Source organism: Homo sapiens, chromosome 9 (assembly GCF_000001405.40).
Source record: "Homo sapiens chromosome 9, GRCh38.p14 Primary Assembly".
NCBI lineage: Eukaryota > Metazoa > Chordata > Mammalia > Primates > Hominidae > Homo > Homo sapiens.
The window spans coordinates 98401131-98429001 of NC_000009.12; the positions used below are offsets into that span (position 1 = coordinate 98401131).

General features: G+C 45.7%; 1 protein-coding gene across 4 annotated transcripts in view, besides 1 other annotated feature; it reads right to left on the minus strand.

The window, feature by feature from the left end:
• Positions 1–27871, minus strand: part of GABBR2 (gamma-aminobutyric acid type B receptor subunit 2) — a 420827-nt gene that overhangs the window by 113022 nt on the left and 279934 nt on the right. For all 4 annotated transcript variants that reach the window (NM_005458.8, XM_017015331.3, XM_005252316.6 and 1 more), the window contains one exon: positions 4951–5011. In NM_005458.8, coding sequence (NP_005449.5) covers positions 4951–5011 — 61 coding nt within the window. The remainder of the gene's footprint in view (positions 1–4950; positions 5012–27871) is intronic.
• Positions 616–1117: an enhancer, noted in NCBI's record as "NANOG hESC enhancer chr9:101164028-101164529 (GRCh37/hg19 assembly coordinates)". NCBI's record gives its function as "activates a minimal SCP1, AML or CMV promoter by ChIP-STARR-seq in primed H9 embryonic stem cells {active_cell/tissue: H9 hESC(primed)}" and the evidence as "EXISTENCE:reporter gene assay evidence [ECO:0000049][PMID:30033119]".

The window sequence follows — 27871 nt, forward strand, 5'->3', positions numbered from 1 at the left end:
ACATCACAGCCTCACATCATCAGGTTCTCAGTCACTCTCAAGGCAAGGAAAATGATCATCTTTTATTTATTTACTTATTTTTAACTGAAATGAAGGCTCAAAGAGACTAAGCTTCTTTGCCTATCTGTCAATGATCAGGCATGTCTGCTTCAAGCCTATATACTTTCCACATGAGAGGGAATGAGTTCCCCATCACTGGAGGCATTCAAGCAGTGGGAATGTTGTATAAGAGAATCAGGGCTCCCTTCAACATGGAGAGTCGATGGCTCAATGAAACCCAATACCTGTAAAATATGCTGTCTTTTGGGCCACCTTTCTTAGGCTCCCTGAAAGGCAAATCCTGGAACATGAGGGCTGGGAGGTGTCGAGGCTAGGGTCAAGCTGGAAAAGAGTCCACATTTCCGTGTGTCCCCTGGTTCCTGCTTGTCCACAACCCTGCTGGTATATCCTGAAGGATTATGGACTATGACTCCACTCTTTAATTATATCAAGTTGAGTGACAGTCTGACGAAATGGCCTTTCCAGACCCATGACTTGGTGAAGCGAGCTACAATTGCAGGCCTTGACAGAGGAAAAGGTTATTAAAAATCAGCCTCAAGAGTCTCAAAGTAGGGTCAAACTAGCCCTGAAAGTATTCTAGTAGGTTCTGGGAAATAATCTTCCTGCTTTCATAAGCACTGGCATTCGGCCAGAGAGATTATGAAGCCCTGGAGGATCGGGGACTGTATCTTATTCAACTTGGTTTTCTCCAGAGGACTTGGTAAAGCGCCTGGCAGATGCTCAGGAAATGCGCACTGAATACAACCGTATCTGTTACCCTGAAGACCAAATGGTAATTAATGTCTGCAATTGGGAAGGACAAGTCTCCCTTTCACTAGGTACGTTCTGAATGACAATTATGTCGTTAGAGTGAAGGAAGACCCCTTCCCTTCAAATCAGGTGCCAAAATATAAAACTCCAAAGCCTGAGCCCTTTATGTTGCATAGAAGCAGTGTGAAATTCAAGCACATTATCATTCCCCGAGATTCTTACAAATAGGCCTAATGAAGGCAGGGTCGGTGAGTTGGAGCGGCAGATGCTGAGTTTTCTCTAAGAACAGCATAAACAAGGCTCTAATCACGGCTTCACTCAACTTCCTTCCCTGCTGCAAATTCAGAGCCATGTTTAGACTTCGGCAGTAACATGGATACTTTTTTTCTCTTAAGGGGAAAAAAGCCAATTCTCTAGTATTCATCCTCATCTACACGTGGTGTCGTGAAAATCAGCCATGGCATCAGGGAGGAGCATGGAATCTGGAGATGAAAGGGGTTCAGGCCTGAGGTGTGTGCCCAACAGGATGCTAATACCTGCCTTACCTACGGCCAAGGGTGGCTCCCTAAGAATAGCACCTGCCTGAGATGAGGGGAAGAAGGCATGCAGTTTATTTGGAAGGTGATCCTAGGATGCGCTGTTAGTGGTGTGGGGAAGTGAGGCAGGGAAGGGAGCCAGGACAAGGTGCATGAGTGAGCAGGTTTCTTTGTGGGCAACCGAGGCTCAGTCCTACTGTGGGAGCTCTGGGAAAAGAGCCAAACACACCTGGGAGTTGCCTCACCCAAGGGGAAAGGATGCTGGGGTATTTATCCTCCCCTTCTCATCCATCACTGACACAGGGCTGCTCCTGGAGGCGTTAACTCCCTGGATGGCTCATCGCACAGCTTGGACGGCCTATTCAATAATCCATCCTGGTAGATAAGGCACCTCTGAAACCCTTTACATTTGGAAAACCAACTGTTGTGTTGATACGCATATGCCCCCTGCATTCTGGTGGCTCATTTCAGTCCTAAAATAACACAAGGTCCCTCTATTGGAGCAAGAGGATCAATGTCTGTTTAAAAAAACATGTAGGCCAGGCGCAGTGGCTCACGCCTGTAATCTCAGCACTTTGGGAGGCCGAGGTGGGCAGACTGCGAGGTCAGGAGTTCGAGACCAGCCTGGCCAATATGGTGAAACCCCATCTCTACTAAAAATACAAAAATTAGCTGGGCATGGTGGCACGAGCCTGTAGTCCCAGCTACTCGGGAGGCTGAGGCAGAAGAATCACTCGAACCCAGGAGGCAGAGGTTGCAGTGAGCCGAGATTGTGCCACTGCACTCCAGCCTGGGTGACACAGTGAGACTCCGTCTCAAAAAAAAAAAAAAAAAAAAAAATCATGTAAACAGGAGCATCTGGCCTTTATTGAAGGCCCAGCTGTGACCCTCAAGAAAAGCTGGACACAAATGCAGAGAGGGTGAGGGGAGCACACTTGTGCCTGGGTGTCCGTGGGAATGTGCAGAAGAGCAAGCTGAGGTCCAGTCCCTGCTCTGCCACTAGCCAGCTGTGTGTCCCTGGGAGACACTACTCATCCCTGGACCTCAGTTTCCCCATTTATACCATGAATTCTGGAATGAGATCATCGCTAAGGCCCTGCCTTGTATCACCTCCTATACATCACTAAGTGCAGGGAGCCGCTATTAGGGGTAAATGGCAGACAAAAAAGCAGCCAGGGGGTTTCAGCACTTCAGGGAAACCTGAATTTGCCCCAGAAAGGTGTCATAATGTTGACAAGGTGCTAATCATAATTGCTACTTACTTGCTGAGAAAAAAAAAAATATATATATATATACATATATATAAATATATTGTATGTATAGTTAAATATACACATACTTTCTCATTTAGTTTTTCCCATATTCCATGAAGGTAGTTAGGATTATACTCCTATTTTACAGATGAGGACAATCAAGGCTCAGAGAGGCGAAGTCGCTTGCCTGAAATTCTACAGTGAGGAAGTGACTGGATCTCGGGTGGGTCGACCCACAAAGCGCAAGCTCTGAACTGCTGTTTGCTGTACTGCCTTCCTTATAAATCCAGATATGCCTAAATAGTGACTGAAGCTGGTGTTTAAACCTAACGTATGAAAAAAAAAAGGCAATACAATTGGCATGCACTGGTAGCTGTGATCAGCCAATCCTTATTTTACAAAATACTTTCTTAGAATGATATAATTTTGAGAACTGGAAATGAGACAAGAGAATTTAGTTGCAATCACTCAAAAAAAAAAAAAGTAAGTATCTTTGCCAAGATGCTTACTTTGTTCAACCAATGAAGAAGTAAAATTTAACAAATGGAAAAATAATTACGTTTGCCTAAAATTACATCTTTTGTGCACGCCAGAGAGCTGACACGCGTTTCAATTACCTGCCACAGAAAGACGAATGGGTATGTCTACAAGATTGCATTACAGAGCGATAGCGCTGAAGAACACCTCTCCTGATTGATCTGAATCCTGGTGGGATTTGTCTGAATGAATCTGAATAACTCACTTTAATTTCTTGCTTTCCCCTGGATGGCGCTGGGATCTGCTCAAAGTGAGTGGGCACAGCAGGCACCACTCTTGTTTCTGGGTTTTCCAGAAACACTCGGCTGCTCAAGAACACTGTATTGATGAGAGGTTCATCTAGTCGTTTTGGCTAATCACCCCGCTAATGGCTGTACTGGTCTGCCTCAAGGAATGCCCAGCCCTGTTCCTCAAGGATGCTCCTCACATGGCCCTTGTCTGCACCTCCGTTTTTCCCTCATCACACAAAGAAATTGGTCTGGATGGTTTCTGAGGCCCTTCTGACAGCAACAGAAAGTTCAACGCATGACCCGGTTTCTTCAAAAAATAAATGTTCTGTAAAAAGTGGTGGGTTATAATAGATGAAAAGAGACTAAAGAGATACTTCAAGCAGATGCAATGGGTGGAATTTGTGTGGATTTTCCAACAAATCATCTGTGAAGACATCGTTGAGATGATCAGGGGATCCACACAGACTGGGAAATTAAACGATATTAAGAATTGTTTAATGTTTTAGGTGTGATAATAGTACCGTGATTATATTATAAAACCTCCCTATCCAAAAAAATGCATACTGAAGTATTTATAGAATGAGATGAGATCGTGTCTAGGAGCTGCTTTAAAACACTACAGCAAAAAAAGGGGGGATGGGGTGAGTCAAAATGAAAGAAGATTGGCAAAATGTCGATAATGATTGAAACTGCCTATTGGGCACATGGGGGTTCATGATGCTGTTCTCTCTACTTTAGAGTCTGTTTGAACATCTCTAAAATCAAAACCAAAAACAGGTGGGTGCCACTGTTGCATGTCTGTGGTCCCAGCTACTTAGGAGGCTGAGGTGGGAGGACTGCTTGGGCCCAGGAGTTCGAGGCTGCAGTATGCTATGAACGCATCTGTGGATTGCCACTGCACTCCAGCCAGGGCAACATACTGAGACCCTTTCTCTACAAAAAACACCCCAAACCCCACAACAATGCAAAGGTCCTCAGAATACTAACTTAATCCCCACCACTCATAATCTCATAAACCTTTTAGAGTCATGCGGGAAGGCAGAATAGGCCAGGGAAGCACAGTTATCCCTAGGGATCCATGGAGGATTGGTTCCAGGATCCCTTGAGGATTCCAAAATCCCCCAACGACCAAGTCCCTGATATAAAATGGGGTAGTATTTGCCTATACACTACACACATCCTCCCATATACTTTAAATCATCTCTAGATTTCTTACAATGCCTAATAAAATGTAAATAGTTGTTATACTCTATTGTTTAGGGAATAACGACAAGAAAAAAAAGTCTGTATGTATTTGGTACAGACGGAATCATCCATTTTTTTCCTGAATAGTTTCAGTCTTCAGCTGGCTGAATCAACAGACGTGGAACCCATGGAGATGGAGGGCTGATCATGATGCGGCTGAGAAAAAAATATTCCAAATAGGTTGAAACTAATGTTTTCAGAAAAGTGTTTTCAATTGGCTCTGCTTTCTTTTATCTGGAACATCACACTTGCATTCCTTTTGATGTATTATATTGCATAAAACAACATTCCTGAATCTAAATTTTATCAGCTAGAAAGAATAAGCATCAAAATGCCTACCTTGAAATTGAGTAAATTTAATGGTCCCCATTCTCTCCCCATTCCGGAATACAACTTGACCCTAAAAACAAAACAAAACAAATCAAACAAGAATAAAAGAGAAATGCCACATTAGCCCAAACGCCACTGATCTCACAGCAATTCATTAACTGTACAATGCGATTATTAATACTGGAGGAAAAACAGATTCCCGCTGGACCACAGATGAAAATCAAACTAATTGTTTTTAAATTGGTTGTGACTTTATCTGGTTAATTTGAGGAGAACAAAATCAATAATGGAACTAACACATGTGAATTGAAGCCAAGATAAGCATCATCATGATCACCATGACTATTAATTAAACACCCACGTGTCCGTGCTATAATGGGGACGACGTCTTCTGGGGTGCTGGAAAGATGACGGCAAAGGTGAGGCCCTTTGGGCCCGGCCCTGACTCCTCTCCCTGTGCCCCACCCATAAAGATACGGGGTATTGCTGAGTCTGCTTGGCTTCAGGACCAGAAGGGTGCTAGAGGTCTGTTGGTATTTCTTATTAGGAATAGAGAATGTTTTTCTAAGTTTTTCCTGAATGGTGACGTCAGTCCCAATTATAACCAAGCTATGGTGCAGCAAAAAACTAAGCTTCTTGAGCCAGCGAGACCTGACTAGTGTCACAGGCAGCTGAGTGCCCCTCATTAGGGACCTTGGGGGCTAAACATAGCGTTATCTCCTGCATCTGCCCTGCTGGCTTCCAAATGCTTGGCTAAATATATCAGGAATTTAGAGATGGAATGTCATCTCTTCTTTCCGATTTATGGCCCACCTAAAATTCTGCAGCCATACGAGGAAATTGACACACACTATATCACTGAATCTTCATGCCAAACGTAAGTGATAAGGGGATGACCCCCATTTTGCAGATCAAGAAACTGAAACTGAGAGAGGTTATGGACTTCACACAAGGTCACTGTAAGTGAGGCTGCTGGGATTCAAATGCAGGTTTAATTTTAATGTCCATGCTACTTCACTGTGGCATGTTGCTCTTGATCGAGAAATAAGTTTCTTCCTGTCTTTTCATTATTGTGAAATTAGGAAAAGAAATGGTTTTAAAGGTATCCTGCTTTTCTCTCACTGTTATGCTTTTGTGTCATCAGGCAACAGCACAGACAATACTCTGGGTTCCACTGAAGTCTTGGGAGAAAACCCCAGGAAGCATTTTTCCTTAGGCAGAAACCTAAAGACTGAAGCCCTGCAGCTTCCAGAATAAAGGGGGATCGCTCAGCCTGATCCCAGAACGAGAAACACCTTCCAAGGCCACCTGGACACCTTTTTGAAACCCTGAAGACAGCTGTGAGTAGTATCAGTTTGAAACTAATGCCCACCGAATTCTATATTCAGGTGACGGTAAGCAACTCCCTGGAGTGTGAAAACACTTCAACCAAGGTGAGACAGGAGCTGTGATTTTTATTTCGAGGGACAATTGAAAATCACAAAACACCTTCTAAAAGGATCATTTCTATGTAAATGGACCACTTTGCCTGAGTGGGAAAGGCTGTCCACAAGGAGAAATTTTTTTTTTGTCTGACAGGATGGGGATCTAATTTACCAATCTTCTGCCAAGCTTTGAAGAATTCCACAGGTGTCTAGATTTAAAATGCGCACAAATTCTGCAGACTCTTTATTAGTGAAATTACAAAGTGTGTGGAATGGTATTCAAAGCTTCCATGGAATGATACAGGAGTGGGGGTGAGAAGAGCCTTCCTTTACTTTGTGAACAAAACTAGTCCACCTTTGAAGCAAGATCTGTCATATTTTATTTTACTAAATATAACTATTTTGTACTAACAGGAACTCCTCCCATCTCTTTGATTTCTCCTTAATTTCTCAGGTGGTACAGTGGAAGTAGGCCAGCGTGTCTCACAAACTGGGTTCAGTCCTCTCTCAGGCAAGTTCCAGAACATCTCTGAATTATGGACCAAGCACAGGTCCTGGTACAGGACAGGTGCTCAGCAAATGGCAGTAGTAATTTTTATTTAAACATGTTTAATAGTGGGGAGCTGAAATCAAAAGATGTTAAGCACCAGAGAGCTTTCCAGCCCTTGGGAAGCGAGTTTCAACTCTCAGGTGATTTCAGCTGACAAAGTGGAAACCACTGGGCCCCCAGCCACGATGTCTTCACCTCCCAGAATCATCAGCCCCCAAATGACTGACTTCCCAAACAACACGAGACACTGTGCATTCTGCCTACCGATGAGAGAAAGTAGAGGGCTTCTGTGACTGGGGTGACGAAGTGCTGATGGAGACACGGATGTGTAACTGACTATGTTGAGGGTCTGCATCAGGGTCACCATGGCATCTGTTGGGTTTGACTGGTGAAGCCATCCCTGCTACCCTAAGTATTGCCGACTGGATAGGGGACCACTGTGCCAGCCAAGACAGCCTTGACAAGACCAGGTATGAGGGAGGCCACAGGCCAGTAAGGTGGTTCTCAAGAAGTTCTGCCCAATAGGTGTCCCCCTTATTAAAAGGTGGTCAATTTACAACATTCCAAAAATATTTACCTACTGCGTGCTCGATACCCTTCTAGGGACTGATGCCTGCTCTTGGAGAGCTTTTTATTTGATTAGGAGGGATAGCAGAAACAAGTCCTCCAATGCTTAAGAAATTTCAGTTAGTGATGAATGCTATGAGAAGATCAAAAGGGTGATGGGAAAAGGAAGTCTTTTTTTATTTTTTATTTTTTTGAGACAGGGTCTCGCTCTGTTATCCAGCCTGGAGTGCAGTTGTGCGATCTTGGCTTACTGCAGCCTCCACCTTCTGGGTTCAGGCGACCCTCCTGCCTCAGCCTGCGATTACAGGCACACACATCATTACACCCAGGTAATTTACTAGGGGAGCTGCTTTAGTTGGGTAGTTAGGGAAGACTCCGCTCAAGACGTTATAAGAAAGCTGAGACCTATCTGGAAAGAAGGAAATATTCTAGCCAGAGGCAAAAGCCAGGGCCAAGTCCCTCAGGTGGGGAAGAGCTTGGAATGTTCAAGGAACAGAAAAGGCCAGCATGGCCGGAACACAGTGAGGGAGGCAGGGTTGTGGCTGGGCGGTGGCAGATGCATAGGTGGACAGGGGCCAGGTCACATTGCCCCCAGAGACCATGACAAAGGGTCTGGACATGACTCTAATGAACAGCGATGAGGGTGGGGAGGTGAAGCGGAGCAGCCTGTGATGTGATTTCAGGTTGGAGAAGATTGCACTGTCTGTGGGGTACAGAATGGATGGTAGTGTGGCAAACGTGGAAGCAGAGACTCTGGAAGCTCTGGCTCAGTAATCCAGGTGTGAGAAGATGGTGGTTTCAGTGAGGCTGGTGGCCAGACTCTGTCCCTCCACAGCTCAGACTGCATGGCAAATGTAGCTAAGCACCGAGCCCAGGGCAGTGCCTGTCTTCCGTTTGACTCCTCTTATCCTGTGTGGTGGATGCCAGGGGTGCGCCCAGACACCCCACCCAGGATGGAGGCCCTCCTCCCCAGCGGCTAGCATCTGGCTCCTGTTGAGATGCCTTGCACCCAATCAGAGCTATGTTAGTTCAGGTTATGCCCCCTCCCTGGGGGCAACCTGCAGCTAGCAGTCAGTGTGAAGGGTCATGGATCTAGCCCTGCTGCCTCAATTCAGGACACCCGTGAAGGACCATGGAATCCCGAGGTCCCCTGGGATTGGCTGAGCTCATGATTGCCACTGCATCACATTTTGACTTCTCCCGCTGCCCAGCGCTACTTGGCTTCCTCCCTTCCAGCTTCTGTTCCTGAAAACATATCCTGATAAACTTCCTGTATGCAAATCTTTGTCTCAGAGCCTGTTTTCTGGGTAACCCTGTCTCAGACACCCTGTCATCAAAGGTCGCTGGGGCTGGCTCTTTCTTGCCACCTGAAGGAGCTGAGCAACAGGGCATGGTGGGAACAGATGGGGCAATGCTGCCACTAGATGCTTTCAGAGCCACCGTGGCCTGCAGTTCAGCCAGGGGAGCCAGGCCAGCTTCAATTCCTAACACCCCAGCTTGAGCTGGAATTTTTTTTTTTGGTTTCCCTCCCACAAAGGTTGCACTTCTCCCAGCACATGTAGTCTTTATGTAGAGATAAATATCATGACTCTCCTTAAGCTTTCGTCTTGTGCAATTCCAGGGCTGTAACAGAATCATCACATTCATTTGAGACCAATCCAGGTGATGAGTTAAATTCTAAGGCAAGGGAGTTTGGTAACTCTGGCCGGGGTGGGGGCTGATAACTGTCTGGTGGCTCACAGTTCACACTCACTCTTCTACACTCTCCTCCTTGTGGCAGGGACTGGAAGCCCTGAAACTACATTTCCCAGAATCGCCTGCCAGCTGGTTTCCATTTAGGGAAGCGGTCATGGGAGATTAGAAAGAACGCATAAGCATGCATGAGGGAAAAGCTTTTTTTTTTTTTTTTTTTCTTCCTCTGCTCTGGTTGCAGCAAGGGGAGCTACGAGTAACTGCAGGTGTCTGTGGGGCCCAGCAGCTTCTGATTCCTGAACCGTTGGAGTGTGGGGGCCCCTGGCTGCATGCTCAGTGGCCAGAGATAGGGCCCCAAAAGTAGCAGAAACAGCAGCAGCAGGAGCCTCGGAGGCCTGTCTACCTGGGCTTTCCCTCCATTATTTCATTTGTATTCCAAATCTGCTCTGTGGTCATTTTTATAAATTCCCTGGAAGTAAGATCTGGTATCAATCAACATCCAGTCAAGAAAACAAAAACCACTTCAGGCATTTCAGGGGCAATGGCAACATCACTTTCCCTTTCATTCTTCCTGCCCAAGGGGCATGGCAATTTTCTGAAGAACTGTATCTGCCACAACAGTCTCTACCTGTTTTCCTCCACCATCCCTTCCAACAAAGTTGGAACCAGTTCCTGTATGAAATCTCCCTCTGAAATGACTGAAGTGGTTTGTGTTTTCTCCACTGGATGGTGATTGATAATGGATTCTAACTTCCAAGGAGTTTATAAGAATGACCACAGAGCAGATTTGGAATACAAATAAAATCACAGAAGGGAAAGTTCCAAGTGGATAACTTATAAGGATTTTTTTTCCCCCTGAAAGAGATGTTGCTAACGTCAAAGAAAGCAGTCTGTTTCATAAAAATCAATCCAAACTAATAGTTCAGGTTTAATTGGGAGCCATAAAGCTGCATTTTCTCCTTCAGCGAAATCTTCAGAATGTATAGGGTAACTTACGGATAAAACCCTAAGTTTTGGCGTTTGCCAACAAGAGTAAATATTGCCATCCATGTGAGCTTGGATGCTCATTGAGCGTTTCTGAGCATCAGTTCTTCTACTTGAAAAATAGTAAGAACAATACAAATTTCTCAGGGTTGTTTCTGAGAATTAAAGAAGATAATTATGAAATGAGAATAGCCAGGGATGGGGCACAGCAAGGGGTAACTTATTGTAAAGGGTAACTGTTATTGTAATGCCTTGAGTTAGTAAAATCCCATTTTTTTTTTGTTTTGTTTTGAGACAGGGTATTGCTCTGCTGCCCAGGCTAGAGAGTAGTGGTACCATCATAGCTCACTGAAACCTCGAGCTCCTGGGCTCGAGTGATCCTTCCACCTCAGCCTCCCAAGTAGCTGGGACCATAGGTGCTTGTCACCACAACCAGCTAATTTTTAAAACAATTTATTTGTTGTTGAGATAGGGGTCTCAGTATGTTGCCCAAGCAGGTCTCAAACTCCCGGCCTCAAATGATCATCCCACCTCGGCTCCCCTGAAAAGTGCTGGGATTATAGTTGTGAACCACTGCACCCGGCTGCAAAATCCCATCTGATGTCAGTTCAGAATCCTCAGAAAAGTTAGTGGGGAGTAAAATGGACACTAAGGATTCTAGAAGCCAGTAGGATTTAACAGCCTCCTCTTAGAAAAACTAATTCTCTGTTTTCATTGTTCATCTTTAATACTTAACTACTAAGCATGAGTAAAATTCACTCCAACAAGTTTATGAGTCTTATAGGTTAAGCCCTTTGTTGGGGCCTCTCTTTTTTCCTTCTTAAATTTCACAGTGGAAGGCAGAGATACTCTCCCTGAGAACAAGATCTGGTGTAGGGTCAGGGAGGCAAGAAGGGGAGCTTTCATGCTTCAGCCAGTGTTACAGGCAACGCCTGGGCAGGGGCGTGAAGCTACTCTGAGTGAAGACTCGCTGGGCTCAGCCTAATATTCTGGAGCCCTGGGCCTACTGAGGGACAGTCTCTGCAGATCACAGTGTACTTAGGGAAGGATTTTCTTCCTAAATATGACTCTAGACTGCACTCTTATCTCCGGGTTGTCGAGTGTGCCTTTGGGAGGTGTGAGCATGCATCCTCACTGAGGATTTGACTTGTGCTGTGAGAAATAAGATCTGTCCTGACACATCACACTGGCAGGAAAATGTCTTAAGTTAATGGAGGTTGAAGGGTGTTAGGGCTCTGAAAACAATACTCCAAAAGGAAGGCCTCAGAAGTCTCCTCAGAAGCCAAAGTTTTTCTCTGACCTTCTCCTGGCCTCCTGTCCCTCAGTCCCTTGCTCCTCTGGGGCCAATCACAGAAACTCCAATCCCTCTTCCCCAAAGCGGGTCAGAGAAACTAGCCATAAAATGTAAAATATTACGCCAGTGTTCCCTCCAAGTTTCTGTGTAAAAACTGGCTATGAAGAAATCATGTAACTTAGCTTATTTGACTGTAGGTCATGCGACCCCCATTCCGGAGAGAGCCCTGCGCTTCCAGAAGGAAGGAATGAGTGCTCAGAGAGGTCAAGAAGAACCTAGACAGACAGGCCTTGCTGGGTTCCCCACTCAGTCTATCAGCATTGGATCAGAGCCTTTTAGTCCAATCACATTCCTACGCGGCTGTCTAGACTTTATTGAATCTAAGCATAAAAATAGACAATTTCCCCTGTATCTCTGGGTCTTCATTCTGAAGGCTCCCATGTATATATATTAAATACATGTGAATGCCTTTTCCCCAATTGGAAGTTGATTTTCCAGTGAACCTTCAGACAGCCAAGGGGAAAGCTCTCCTAAGGCCCCTACAAAGACCATGGGGGACCCTGGTAAGTTCTGTTGCAGGGGCCAGCAGATCAATGTCTGTGTGAGGGATCCAAGCCCATCGTGGACTGTTCTGCTGCCAGCCCTCCTCCCAGGACAGCACTGGTCTCAAAGAAACAATGCAGACTTTGAGAAAACACTGGGGTTAAATTGCTTGTCAGGGGTTGCATAAAGGGTGGAGATCTGCATGACACAGGCTTGAAGGAGAAGGTGCCCTCTGTTTCCACAGGGATGGCAGGATATAAAAGAGAGAGAGAGAAAAATAATTGAGTATATCCACCCACATGTTCTGTAAAGTTTAAAAAATATTCTTTTTTTTTTCTTTATGTCCCCTTGAGCTATAGAAGAGGCCACATTTTGTACACAATTTAAAATATTTTCTTACACCAAAAATTCTTTTGTTAGACACAAGCCTTCAGGAATGTTTGATGCACTCATAGAGCCTAGAGCAGTAGGTTTGCAGGGAACTGAAAGAAGGAGCAGAATGGGAGGTGGGGTCTGTCCCACTGCCAGCCTTCGGCGGGTGGACAATAAGGATGCAGGGGCATCTTTCTGAGGGACCATAACCAGACGGCTCAGAGGGTGCAAGTAGTGACCCTCCACAAAGCATGTGGTGGCCTAAGGTGGGGCTGTGTGCGGTGGAGGGAAGCGGGGACCTAGAGAAGATGGCTGGGTGGATGGCCCAGGAAGGGTGGAGCAACTCCCTCTCTTTCCTTCCACTTATTATAATAAGAGAGTCAGGCTTATTTAGAACAACAAAATATCAGGTGTAAATGAGTGTCTAAGAAGTACGGGAAAAGTGAAGTAAATTTTAATACAGACACATGATGAAATATTAGGATACGTGCATTCAATCAGCAAGTCCTGTTGGGCACCTATGATGTGCCAGACAGGCACCAGATCAAACAGTGAGCAAAATCAACATGGTCCTAGATTGCATGAAGTGTAGGGTCTGGTGGAAGACAGAGACATTAAGCAATAAACACACGGATAAATAGAGGATTACAAACTGTGATCAGTGACATAAAGGAAAAGAGCAGGGCTCCAAAAGAGAAAACTACAGGAAGACCCTAATTTAGACTGGAGGCCAAGGAGGGCCTTTCCAGGAAGGTGGCATTTGCACTGAAACCTGAAGGAGCTGGCTGAGCCGAGAGCAAGGGGGAGAATATCCTGGAAGGAGGAAATTGCAAGTGCAAAGGTCCTGAGGCAGGAAAGAGATTGGGAAATCCAAGGACCTGAAACAGTGCCGATAAAGCTGTAAATGGTCATTGAAGAGCAGCTGAGCAAGGAATGTGACCGGCAAGGTGGACAGGTGCAAGGCCACGCAGAACCTTACCAGCTATGCCAAGGATGCTGAGCTTCATTTTGAATGCAAGAGGAGCAACTGAAGGGTTTTAATGAGGGGGTGACTTGATCTAAGTCCTATAGACTTAAGTATTATATTATAAAAGTTATCAAAGGTTAGAACAAGTGATATTCCAATTGTGCCAGTCGCTGGCTAGCTGTTGACCAAATTCATTTCCTTTTCCTCCTAGGCACATGGCCAGACTAGGTTTTCCAGGCTTCCTGACGGTTGGGTGCGGCCATGTGACAGTCCTACCAATGGAATGTGGGTGGGAGGGACATGGTACTCCAGGCCTGGACCATGAAAACCTCTCACAAGTTCCTGATCCTTCATGCTTCCCCGTTTTCCCCCCTGTCAACCAGATTGATAGGATCTATCGGAGAACCCTGAGGCCTAAGGAACAGTGGGGACATGAGACAGAGGAGCTTGGGTCCACGAATGATCACGTGGAAAGGCTAACAACCAGAAGGACCCACTTTGGACTTTATATAAGAGATAAATAAAATTTTACTGTGTTAGTCCACCAAGATTCTCAGATAACTCGGTTACAGCAGCTAGTGTTATTTCTCCTAATACTATAATGAATTAAAAAAGTAAAAAACAAAACAAAGGATAAAAATTGTATATACAGTATACTCGCAATTACGTAAAAATTACCCCCACAAAGTAAAAACGTTAACACTGGTTGGTCCCGGGAGTGTGATTATCGCTTTTTATTTTTACTTTTTAATACTTTACCTATATTCTATAATAAATGGGTATTATTTTAATAACAAGAAAACTTTATTAAAAACTTTTTAAAAAGATGTGATAAGGAGGCACATTTTACCGGCAAAAATAGCAATATCATCAGCAATAAACTAATACTCCCTCTTGAAATAGATTAATTTTTTTACTATTTTACTAATAATTTTACAGATTAATTTATTTACTGTTTTGTCTGTGCAAACGTAAGCCCGTTTCCCTCTCAAAGTCGAATAACAAAGAGAGCAATGAACAAGTTCAGATTCAGGCTGAACTTGGCCATTTTCTGGGAAGGGAAGCTGGGGCAAGCGCCTTTTCATCTCTGTGCTCAGGCTTCCCTCGGCAAAACGTGCAGAGATGATATTGTGCAAGCTACTTTTAGCTTTGCTGAAACATTTGTGTGCGTTATTTAAGATTTTTTTCCCCTGGGGTTCTCCTTTATTAATAGATATTCAACAACACCCTCAATGGAATGAGGTATGTATGATGATCTCCATTTTACAGATGAGGAAACTGGAAACTGAGAGCCTGAGAGGTCAGGACTTTGCCTAGGGTCACATAACGAGTAGGCAAAAGGACTGGGACCCACCTCAGTTGTGTCAACTTTAAGCTCATGCTTCTAACAACATGCCATTCTCCCTCCTGTTTGCGAGAAGGAGTCATTGATCAGAAAATGAGCTCTCTGCAGGGGACTGGAGTAAGTACCACGTGACCTTGGGCTAGAGGGATGGTGTGTGGGTGTAGTAGGAGTAGGCAGAGGAGGAGGAAAGATAGGTAGTCAGGGATGTGTTGGTTAATGTTTAACAGCTGGCTTTTTGGGGAGAAGAAAAAAGAGCTCTGATGTGTAGTGTTTGCCAATTTCCGTGGTGTAAATACACCCACCATGGTAGATTTCAAGCTATCAATGATTTAACAGCTGGCTCACAAATTCCTGATAATTTAACAACTGGCTCTCAGCTCTCTCTGGAGCCTGCAGGAGCTGGCTCCAGCACACCCATAACCAAGCCAGTCCTCTCTGGCTTCCAAATTAAGATTGTGAATGCAAAATGCCCTGTTTTTACCTGCACAACTGGGTGATAATCTCTTCCCAGAAACAAGCGAGGAGGCCACAAATCAGCATGGGACTAGCTGGAGAGAAGGGGCTTGTGCCAAATATTTACCTACTGTTTCTCAGCTCCCAAGCCTGCCCTCTCTATCCTGCTCTGTGATGCTAGGGCCAGGGCTCCACAAGCCACATCTCCCAGACTCTGTCCTGTTAGCTTCCGCCAACAGGAGGCTCTGAGGTAGAGTGGAAGGGGATGATGGGGACTCCCTGCTCTCCTGTTCCTGTCAGGCAGGGTCCTGCCTCTAGCTTCTTTCTGCGCTTTCAGCACCAGCCCTGCTATGTCCCTTTGAGGGGCCATCAGACATCGGGCAGACATGCCCCTCTTCAGACATCAGAATACTAGCTGTGCAGGGCTTCTCCTCTGAGCTCCTGGGTTCTGAAAAGCTCATCTCTGTCCTTTCATTTTCCTAGCCCTAGGGGCAGTAGCTGTTTCTTTCTGCAGCTGGTATCCGTTGACTGCTTCAGTGCTCCTTCTGTACTCCTTCCTCCTCCCATCACCTATTAAACAATTCCTTGTATTAAATCCCCTCTGTTTGAAATGCCTAGAGTGGCTTCTGTTTTTCAGACTGGACTCCTCCTCTCCATCTACCATGTGGTTTTGGGACTTGGTCCTCCAAGCACAAGCCTCCTATGTTAGGTCCCAATTAAAGTGGCCTCCCCTGTTCATGTCCTCTTTGGCAACGGCAATGCTCCCGGCTCCTTCCTCCACACCCTGAGCTGAATATGGTAATTGCCTCCTGCTGGATGAAGCTTCCGAGGGCAGGAAAGTGCTCTTTCCTCTTCAAGGGCTGGGAAGCAGCAGGATGCAGGACTATTGGTTACGTTGCACTGAGTTGAGTTGAGTTGAATGGACTGGGTTCCCCAGTGTTGGTGGGCCAAGGAGCAGGATCTCTCAGGAAGAGCTACGAAGGAGAGAGAATGGACACTGGCCAAGAGCATTTGCTCAGTTAGCTCCCCAGGGTAAGAGGACTGAGAGACATGCAGAGTGGCCCAAGGTGGAGGAGCTACTTGTCACAGAGGCCTGAAGGTGATCACAGGTTGGGAGATCAAGATGCCCTGGAGGCTGCTGGGCCCTCGGGACCTGCATCCCATGGGCCAAATGATGTTGGCTAACACTATTTCTTTACAATTAAACCAGAAAGGGCTTGGGGCTTACAGTGAGTAGTTCGGGGTTCTAGTCCCAGTTCTGTCCCCAACTCCATGTGTATTCATAATTGTGTTCCTTCCCTTCTCTGGGCCCCAGTTTCCTCATTGATAAAATGAGGGGACAACTGGCCACATACAATGTTTGTTGAGTGCCTGCTCTGGGACACAGCATGCTAGACCCTGCAGTGTTACAATGAAAAAGACAAAATCGTTGTCTTCTAGAAGCTCCCAGTCTAACAGAGATGACAGAATTTTTTTGTGTAAGACTATTATAAGGTAATGTGAGTTGCTAGGAGAGAGTGGGTACAGAGGGCTGGCAGCACAAAGGAAGGGCACCTCTCTTTGAGGGGGTGGCTTAGGGGTACAGAGAAGAATGACCATGTTACCCAGGCAAAGAAGATGGGAGAGGAAATGTTCTAGGCAGAGGGAACAGTGCATGCAAAGCCTAGAGGCAAGAGACAGTGTGGCTCTTTGGAGGAGTAGAAAGGAGGGTGAGGTTGCTGTGGGTGGTGTGCATGGGGTGGAGGGCTGGTGGGAGGCAGAGAATGCAGGAGCCACATCAGGCAGGGCTTTGGACCTTATGCCCCAAATAAGGGGCCACAAAAGGGGTGTTGGCCAGGAGATAGCAGGTGCAACGAGCTCTTTCCCTTTTGTGGAAAATGGATGGGCATGGGGGAAGGACTGGAAGCAAGGCAGCCAGTGGGAAGCTGTGGAATCCATGGGAGAGGAGGATGATGTGGAAGGAGCAAAGTAGATGATGCATGAGGTGGGAGGGAGGCTGGGCATGGTGGTTCATGCCTGTAATCCCAGCATTTTGGGAGGCCAAGTGGGAGATTGCTTGAGCCTGGAGTTCAAGACCAGGCTAGGCAACATAGCGAGACCCCGTCCCTATAAAAAATAAAAAATTAACCAAGTGTGGTGGTGCACTCCTCTAGTCTCAGCTACTCAGGGGGCTGAGGTGAGAGGATTGTTTAAGCCTAGGAGGTCAGGGCTGCAGTGAGCTATGATTGTGCCAGTGTACTCCAGCCTGGGTGACAGAGTGAGACCCTGTCTCAAACAACAACAACAACAACAAAAAAACCCAAAAATCCAAAAAACAAAAAACAAAACAACAACAACACAATATGTATATATGTAAATGGGAAGGAAGTGGAGGTGGAATCAACAAGCCTTAAAGATACCCCGGAAGTGAGGAGTGAATGCAGGGAAGAATGGCTCCCAGCTTTCTGGTTTGGGCAGACAGATGGAGGGTGATGCCTACAGAGTTGGCAGAGGAGAACTGACCAGAGCAGTGGCTGGCATCTTTGCCCAGGTTCCTGGGTGGGTGGCTGAGCCAAGGGAGCTTTGTAGCTACAGCGCCATGCATCACCAAGCCTCTGCCCAGGCTCCTCACCACCCCCACCCATGGTTCCTTCTTTTCTGGTCATTTGCAGATGCAAGCATCCCTACGATTAGAAGTATTTGATTTTTGCTTTACTGTAGGTTCTATTTTTGTTAAATAGATTAGGCTCCACCAGGAAAACCAAATTGCTGACCAGCTGACCTGAAAGTCTGAGAGATGCAATTTGCAATCTGTTGGAATCTTCGCTTTAAGCCAGGGTGGGCTGCAGATTGGCCCGGGGGGGCGGTGGAGCAGGGCTCAAATTAGGCAGCTGGTGCAGCAGCCGTCCAGGCGCCAGGCAAGGGAGCTCAGGCAGGAAGAGAAAAAGATGCAGATCAGAGAAATAGGAAAGGAAAAATGGACAAGATTTGGTGACTCAGAAAGGGTATCCTGCTGGGAGGTGGGGCTCCTGGGTTCTACTCTGGGATCCCCCAGTCACACTGGTTGCAGTGTCTCCTAGGGTGTAAGGAGATAAAGTTGATATGATCTAAAGCTGGGCCCAGAATTCCTCTTAAAGAGCAGACGATCTTGGTGCCTCCTGGTGGGGAAGAAAGAACCTCCATGTGTTTCTGGGTAGGAAAGACCATGGCCGTCGGGGGCGGCCAGCCACTCTGCTGAGAAAATAGGCTGGAGTTCATTTTCCTCCTGAGGACAGGACCTGGGAGGAGCGGAAGAACCTCTCAAACAAAATTTCATAGTGCAAACTGTTAGGCAAAGAGGAGTGGGAGGTGGAGACCACCCAAGGGTGGCTGCGGAGGGCCCAGGTCAGGGGCTTCTCATGTTCAGCTTGATGCTGCTCCAATTACTTTCTCTGATACAACCCTGCTCTGCCTGGCCCCTAAATCTTCATTGACATCCCCTCAGAAGGCCTTGTCAGAGAGGACAGTTTTTGTGTCTTGTTTTGTATGGGTGTAGAAATAGAGGAGGAGGCTGCATATCTTGCATGGATCAATGTGGCTCTGAGTGGAGGAACACCTGAGGGATCAGGAAGTGGTCCAATTCCCGAGTGAATTCAGCAGAGGCAGGAGCAGGAGAGCGCGAGTCCTCCAGGAATTTGGAGAAGTCTTGAGGTTAGTTGTGGGCATCCCCAAACTGAGGGATGGAGCCTCCTGACAACGTTTCTGGCTCCCAAGCAGCTGACATCAGGTTGTACGTAAGATGCTGGGTCAGACAGGAGGCTCTCCAAATCTTGGAGACGCTCTCTGGCTTGGAAGGTCTGGTATAGGGCCAGTAGGGGTGGTGGTGTGATGAAGGGAAAGGAAGGGCAAAAAGTGTTCTTGAACTCTTGTCTCGGAGGAGGGGAGGCCACATGCTCTGCAGGGATACCCTAGCTCCCCCCACCTGGCCCTCCTTGCCCCTCTGGATATACAAGTCCTCGGTGAGCTCCAGCCAGCAGAGGAGCCCCTCCGTTGTCCCATGCCTGGCTCAGCCCCAGCCCACCTGGAGCCTCGCCTAACTGGAATGCCAGCCTCAGCCGGCCTCGACTGACTCTCCCGCCAGAGCCCCAGTGGCTGTGCTCATCCCTGCTGCCAGGCTGGTAGGAGGAGCAAAGGCATGTGCAGGGCTTTTAGAAGAGTGAAGCGCTGGGTTCATGCAAAGAGTGTGTGGCCGGGAATTTACACTTTTTTTGTTGAGTACTGGCTGTGCATCAGACTAGGCCAGGTACTGGAGATACAACAATCCCCAAGACTTAGTCCCTGCCCTCAGGAAGCCCACAGTCTAGTGGAGGAGACAGACCTATAGATAACCACAGCACAAAGGCACGAGTGCCCTGATTGGCAGAGGGCCTGGGCTGTGGGGAATCTATCCAGCCCAGGCTCACAGAGGGCTTCCTGGAGAGAGGGTTTCTCAAAGTGAGCCCAGAAGCGCTAGGGAGAGATCACCAGGCAAAAGGGAAGGTTGGGGATGGTGAGAGTGTACCAGGAAGAAGGAATCACCTGTGTAAAGGCCTGGAGGTGGGAAAGTAGGCAGAGAGTAGGAAGCAGAAATAGTTCTAGGTTGAAGGGTGGCAGAAGAGAGATAAAGCTCTGAAGGCAGGCAGGGAGCAGGTGAAGAAAGGCCTGTAGCAAAGTCACACCAACAAAGAATGGAAAGCGGAGATCTCTTGCTTTGCCAGATATTAAGGCATATTAGAAAGCCACACTAAGAGGAACAGATGGTTTTGGTTCAAAAACAAACAAGCCAGTAGAAGAGAACAGAACCATGGTTCCCAAACTGGGCCCCGAGGTGTCCCAGGGTACTAGAGTGAACTCGCAGGGGTATTGTGGCATATTTTAAATTTCTGAGGGAAACAGTGATATTTAACATTGATCATACACCATGTGAACTACTAGCTTGAAGTAATTCACAGTCTCAACATTAGATTGTGCCACATCATTTTGATGACATCGCCTCTTTGTGAAACTGGGTTTTCAGTGGTTGCTGTGACGAAAAGCAAGTATGTATAAAAATCGACGAGGAACAGGAAACAATGTGTAAAAATCGACGAGGAACAGGAAACAATGTACAATCTTATTCCAAGGTTTCAGAAGCTGTCCAGCTCCCTATTCCATTAGTAAGGAACTGTACTCATTCAGGAATAAAATTAAAACTTTACTTTTTGTTTCAATTTCTGTGCATTACTTTTTTGAATGGCTACTAAGTTGTCAGGATTTAAATATTTATTTAGTTGTTTGGACCTAACTGCTTAGAAACTTGTAGTATTTCTTTTGGCTTAGAGAAAAAAATATTGTGTGAAAAAATGCCGTGAAAAAATTACTGAGTCACTAAGGGTGCTTTAAACTGAGAAAGTTTGGAAACCTCTGGAATAAAGGGTTAATAGGTAAGCACATTTTTGGAAGGAAATTTAATTTCCAAAAACATGGCACCATAAATCAAAGGGATGTTTAATTGTTTAACAGATGACAGTTGGAAAACTGGTTGACTATATAAGGGAAAGCAAAACTTATGCCAAAATCCATAAACAAGAGTGGATACGTGACCAAGTAAAGGTTTAAATGAGAAAGGTAAAGTTAACAGGAGAAAATGTAGGGGAATATCTTTGAAACCCAGAGGCAGAACTTCTCAAACAAAACTTCCAAAGCACAAACCGTTAGCCCAAAAACTGATTAATTTGATTATATCAAAATTGAGCATTTCCTAGACAAAGGACATCCTGGACAAACAGACAATAGAATGAAAGAAGATTTTTGTAAGGTCTAAAATCAACGTGGTCTTAACACCCAGATTATCCATGGAGTGCCTGAAAATCAACAATATAAAGACAGCAACCCCAACAGAAAAATGGGTGAAGCATCTGAAAAAGCAATTTACAAAAGAGAAAAAACCAGAAGACAGTAGGCACATGAAAAGATGCTTAATATCATTAGAAATTAGAGAAAATTAAAGTGATGTTGCTTTACATCTAATACATGGCAACACTTAGAAATACAGACAATTCTAGGTATTGGTGAAGACAGAGACATGGGGCCTCAGGCACTTCTGGTGGGATGTCACAGGAGCAGGCATTCAGGACAGCGTCTGGCACTACTTAGTCGAATTAAGTGTCCATATACTCTTTGACCCAGAATTTCACTCCTGGGAAACAGCCTAAGAAATTCTCATAAGTGGACATTTAGAAGGCTGCTTAATGCACCTGTGTGTGTGTGTGTGTGTGTGTGTCTGTGTGTGTGTCTGTGTGTGATGGAGGTGACCTAGAGAGAATCATAACCAGCAGATTAGATGTAATGGAAGGATAGATATTAAAAGCACACTGCTTTTTTTTTAACTATTAAAGTTTTAGGGTACATGTGCACAATGTGCAGGTTAGTTACATATGTATACATGTGCCATGCTGGTGTGCTGCACCCATTAACTCGTCATTTAGCATTAGGTATATCTCCCAATGCTATCCCTCCCCCCTCCCCCTACCCCACAACAGTCCCCAGAGTGTGATGTTCCCCTTCCTGTGTCCATGTGTTCTCACTGTTCAATTCCCATCTATGAGTGAGAACATGCGGTGTTTGGTTTTTTGTCCTTGCGATAGTTTACTGAGAATGATGATTTCCAATTTCATCCATGTCCCTACAAAGGACATGAACTCATCATTTTTTAAGGCTGCACAGTATTCCATGGTGTATATGTGCCACATTTGCTTAACCCAGTCTATCATTGTTGGACATTTGGGTTGGTTCCAAGTCTTTGCTATTGTGAATAGTGCCACAATAAACACACGTGTGCATGTGTCTTTATAGCAGCATGATTTATAGTCCTTTGGGTATATACCCAGTAATGGGATGGCTGGGTCAAATGGTATTTCTACTTCTGGATCCCTGAGGAATCGCCGCACTGACTTCCACAATGGTTGAACTAGTTTACAGTCCCACCAACAGTGTAAAAGTGTTCCTATTTCTCCACATCCTCTCCAGCACCTGTTGTCCTGACTTTTTAATGATCGCCATTCTAACTGGTGTGAGATGGTATCTCATTGTGGTTTTGATTTGCATTTCTCTGATGGCCAGTGACGATGAGCATTTTTTCATGTGTCTTTGGCTGCATAAATGTCTTCTTTTGAGAAGTGTCTGTTCATAACCTTTGCCCACTTTTTGATGGGGTTGTTTTTTTCTTGTAAATTTGTTTGAGTTCATTGTAGATTCTGGATATTAGCCCTTTGTCAGATGAGTAGGTTGCAAAAATTTTCTCCCATTCTGTAGGTTGCCTGTTCACTCTGATGGTAGTTTCTTTTGCTGTGCAGAAGCACTTTAGTTTAATTAGATCCCATTTGTCAATTTTGTCTTTTGTTGCCATTGCTTTTGGTGTTTTAGACATGAAGTCCTTGCCCATGCCTATGTCCTGAATGGTAATGCCTAGGTTTTCTTCTAGGGTTTTTATGGTTTTAGGTGTAACGTTTAAGTCTTTAATCCATCTTGAATTAATTTTTGTATAAGGTGTAAGGAAGGGATCCAGTTTCAGCTTTCTACATATGGCTAGCCAGTTTTCCCAGCACCATTTATTAAATAGGGGATCCTTTCCCCATTGCTTGCTTTTGTCAGGTTTGTCAAAGATCAGATAGTTGTAGATATGCGGCGTTATTTCTGAGGGCTCCGTTCTGTTCTATATCTATATCTATATCTGATCTATATCTCTGTTTTGGTACCAGTACCATGCTGTTTTGGTTACTGTAGCCTTGTAGTATAGTTTGAAGTCAGGTATCATGATGAACATTGATACAAAAATCCTCAATAAAATACTGGCAAACCGAATCCAGCAGCACATCAAAAAGCTTATCCACCATGATCAAGTGGGCTTCATCCCTGGGATGCAAGGCTGGTTCAATATACGAAAATCAATAAATGTAATCCAGCATATAAACAGAACCAAAGACAAAAAACCACATGATTATCTCAATAGATGCAGAAAAGGCCTTTGACAAAATTCAACAACGCTTCATGCTAAAAACTCTCAATAAATTAGGTATTGATGGGACGTATCTCAAAATAATAAGAGCTATCTATGACAAACCCACAGCCAATATCATACTGAATGGGCAAAAACTGGAAGCATTCCCTTTGAAAACGGGCACAAGACAGGGATGCCCTCTCTCACCACTCCTATTCAACATAGTGTTGGAAGTGCTGGCCAGGGCAATTAGGCAGGAGAAGGAAATAAAGGGTATTCAATTAGGAAAAGAGGAAGTCAAATTGCCCCTGTTTGCAGACGACATGATTGTATATCTAGAAAACCCCATTGTCTCAGCCCAAAATCTCCTTAAGCTGATAAGCAACTTCAGCAAAGTCTCAGGATACAAAATCAATGTACAAAAATCACAAGCATTCTTATACACCAATAACAGACAAACAGAGAGCCAAATCATGAGTGAACTCCCATTCACAATTGCTTCAAAGAGAATAAAATACTTAGGAATCCAACTTACAAGGGACGTGAAGGACCTCTTCAAGGCGAACTACAAACCACTGCTCAATGAAATAAAAGAGGATAGAAACAAATGGAAGAACATTCCATGCTCATGGGTAGGAAGAATCAATATCGTGAAAATGGCCATACTGCCCAAGGTAATTTATAGATTCAATGCCATCCCCATCAAGCTACCAATGACTGTCTTCACAGAATTGGAAAAAACTACTTTAAAGTTCATATGGAACCAAAAAAGAGCCCGCATCGCCAAGTCAATCCTAAGCCAAAAGAACAAAAGCACACTGCTTAATGAAAAGGAAGAAAAAAGAGGATATATATTATATATATAATACATTTACATAAATACAAATAATAACACACATTTTGCAAAACCATATACCAAAAAAGGTACAATTGGACAGACATAGGGAATGGCAGTGAGAAATGGGGATGAAAAGGAATGAATGGGTGAATGAATGAATGAATGAATGAATGTAACAGAGCCGAGCCTTCCCTGAAGCAGTGATGTTAACTGTCACGAACTGATGACTGAAAGCAACTAAATTCTCTGTACCTGAAGGAGGTTAAACGAAGTAAAATTGAACCTAGACTTTACCTTAAGGGCAGGGGAAACCAACCAGAGTTGAGGAGGTCTGTGCTTGGTACACATGTGTTTGTTCATTCAATTAGTCATTTGTGCACTCATTCTTTCATCACATTTTTGTGATCAGTCTCTTCTGGGCCACGCACTGTGCTGGGCTCTAGGTATAACACGCAGAGCAAACAGGCATTCCATGGCTCTGGTCCTACTGCAAGGCCAAGTGCCTAATTGGTCTCCACTGGTGTTCAAAGGCTCCAAACCTGGGCAAACCAGGTGGGCCACAGGCCTGGTGGATATTACCACCTTCCCATTTCCTGGTTGACAAAAATGAGGCTCAGACAGGTGAGTCATTGAGTCACAAGGTCACAGCTATGACTTTGAGTGGCAGAGCTGGGATCCGAGCTCAGGTCTGCGGAACTCTGAAGCCAGTTACTTCCCCTCCAACCCCAGCAGGAGAGCAGGAGAAGCACTGTAGTAGTCCTACCCCGGGTTGGCTGTAGGCCTCCTCTGGCTTAGCTTACTCATTCAGGGCAGGTCCGGGAAGGCTTCATGTAGGAGGCAGCGCTGGAGGATGAGGTTGTCTGCTTTTTCACAATTGTATTCCAATGCTAGAAATGCACGTAGTATGTAATAGGTGCTCCATAGATAGTTGTAAGTGAATGGATGGACAAATGAATGAAGAAACGGAGAGGACATACATAGGGCTGTGAGGAGCTCAGAAGGCTGGCACATGAGGGGTGGGGAGGCAGGTCTTGAATCCCAGGCTAAGAAGTGTAGACACTTTGTCAGCTGCAGGGGCCTCCTGCCAAGGTTTGAGCCAGGGCATCCATCCCCTTTACGGGTCATGCTTAGGCAAAGAGAACATCATGTTGCTTTGCCTACTCAGAGTCAGCGCAGTGTGACACATAACCTATCCAGGACTTAAAGCACAGAGTGGTGTAAAGGGCACTGAAATAGCAATCCCAAGATGGCATGCTGGCTCCGTGTATAGGTTTCTCCATTTGCAAAATGGTGTGTGTGAGCCTGCATCTGCCAGTGTGTGTATGCACACGTGTGTGTTAGAGTGAGGGCAAGGAGTACTGGCTAGGACAGTCTCCCAGGCTCTCCTGGATCTCACAGTGCTCAGCTCTGAGTTTGATGAGTCACCAGTTGAGCCCCCAACCTTGGAAACAGTGGGCTGGGCTGGCAGACAGGTGTCCCTGGCATGCCTGATTGAGAACCCATTCTCCCTTTTGGCTCAACTCCCCAACTAGAAACCCAGATGGCTCCACAAGGGAGTTGGGGGACTATTGGTTTCATGGACTAAGCCTAAAAATCTTCCATCAGCTAAAATATCTTCCATTAAGAGAAAAGTGTTAGCAGGCCAGGAGTGGTGGCTCATGCTGTAATTCTAGCACTTTGGGAGGGAGGCCGAGGTGGGCAGATCAACTTGAGGCCAGGAGTTCAAGATCAGCCTGGCTAACATGGTGAAACTCAGTCTCTACTAAAAATACAAAAAGTTAGCTGGGTGTGGTAACCTATGTCTGTAATCCCAGCTACTTGGGAGGCTGAGGCACGAGAATTGCTTGAGCCGGGGAGGTGGAGGTTGCAGTGAGCAGAGATTGTGCCACTGTACTCCAGCCTGCGTGACAGAACAAGAATCTGTCTCGAAAACAAACAAACAAAAGAGACAGGTGTTAGCAAAAAAGGAAAGAGAAATGGAAGGCAGGGCTGCTGCTTTGATGGTCCCAGTGTTTGCCTGAGGAGGGTCAGGAGGTTCTTCTAGCGGCAGAAACCAGAATGAAGGCTGTGAGATGTCAGGAGCAGACTATGAACAAACACAGTTGAGTGTCTTAGGCTGTTTGTAGGGCTGGAGTGAGGTCAGGAGAAGCTGGGGAAGATGAATCAATGAACCACTTGGGTTCTCTCCTTTCCCCTCCCACCTCTGGCCTGGGCTTGGGGGCGTCCTCATTCCCATTTACTATGGCTCTTCTAAGCCCTCTGGTCAACTTACGTGAACTGCTAGAGAATTCAAGAGTCACAGTTTCTTATATTTACAGGACTTGTACCTGGTTTATAGCTGCCAATGCACTTCAGAGTGCACATTTATTTTTCTTGCTCAGCAACCCATCCCCCTTTGGATGGTTTTAATTGAGAGACTATGTCAGCCAGGGTCTTTGATAACCACACTCTAAGGTGGCCCCAAATGACTCTTGCCTCCTGGCGGTCACTACCAAATTCCATCATCCCCTTCCACATTGAATAGGGCTGGCCCGTGTAACTTGTAGGATATGTCTAGAGAAATGGCAGTGTGTACTTTCCAAGAGTAGGTCATAAAAAGATGCCGCAGCCTCAGTTGTTTTCTTTTGGATTACTCATGCTGGTGAAAGCCAGCCACCGTATCATGAAGACACTCAAGCAGCCCTGTGGATTACTCATGCTGGTGAAAGCCAGCCACCGTATCATGAAGACACTCAAGCAGCCCTGTGGAGGGGTCCTGAGGAACTGAGTCCTGTTGATAGCCAGCATCCACTTGCCAGCCATTTGTGGGAGACATCTTGAAAGCAAACCTCCCAGCACTAGTGAGCCTTAGAATGACTGCAGTCCCCACTGACATCTTGCCTGTATTATCCGAGAGACCCCAAGCCAGAACCTTACAGCTAAGTCACTCCTGAATTCCTAACCCACAGAAACTATGTGAGATAATAAACATGTATTGTTGTTTTAAGCCACTACACTTTGGGATCATTTGTTACGACTTAACAGATAACTAATACAGGGCCACAGGAGGAAACATAATTCATCCTGGATGGCTCAAAAGAAGAGACTTTATTAAAAACTACTCGCAGGGTAGGGGGCAGATTGAGGGAGTAGACAAGGGAAGGTGATGTGCCCATGGACCAGCAATGGCAGGAGTTGCTACCATACCTCAGAACGGAAGGAGGAAATAGTGTCACTGGAGATTCAACAAAGTGGGAGACAAGAAGGAGAAGCCACAGCCATGGAGGGGCACAGGTATTTCAGGAGACGCAGCTCCAAAGCAGGGAGGAAGGCAAAGGCTGCACCTGACCAATCTCCTTCCTCCTGGACTCCAATCTCTTGCCTATATTGAACCAGAAACCAGAAGACAGGGGATGTCATCATGGGATCAGCCTCCTAGAGCACCAGAGCAGGGGAGAAAATGCGTGTAAGGAAGAAGAAAAGTAGAGAGACAACACAGAGAGACCCACTTGGCCCCATGCTCAGCCTTGAAGTTCTGTGAAGATGGCTCTATGCAGGGATGGATCACATGACTGGAACTAAGCCAATCAATACAGACTATTCTAGCTATGTGATTGGTTCAGAAATGGGCACATGACCCAAGTCAGCCAGCCAATCAAAACTAACGGGACTAGCAGGGATTTTGCTGGTGCTATAAGGAAAATGGGTTCCCTTTTTTGCTGGACTTGGTGCTGACATGATGAAAAGCAGAAGCAACTGTGCATAGGCCTAGAATGGACCTGGCCCAGGAGAAAGCAGACCCAGAGATGGAGAGCTGGAGAAACCTCATCCTAGACTTTACTGCTCCTTTGCTTAAGTACAGTTTCCTATCACTTGCACCAAAAGAGTCCTGAATGATACATTCTCATCCACATCTTTGGTGATCCTTGAGGCAGCTTTCTGGGTAG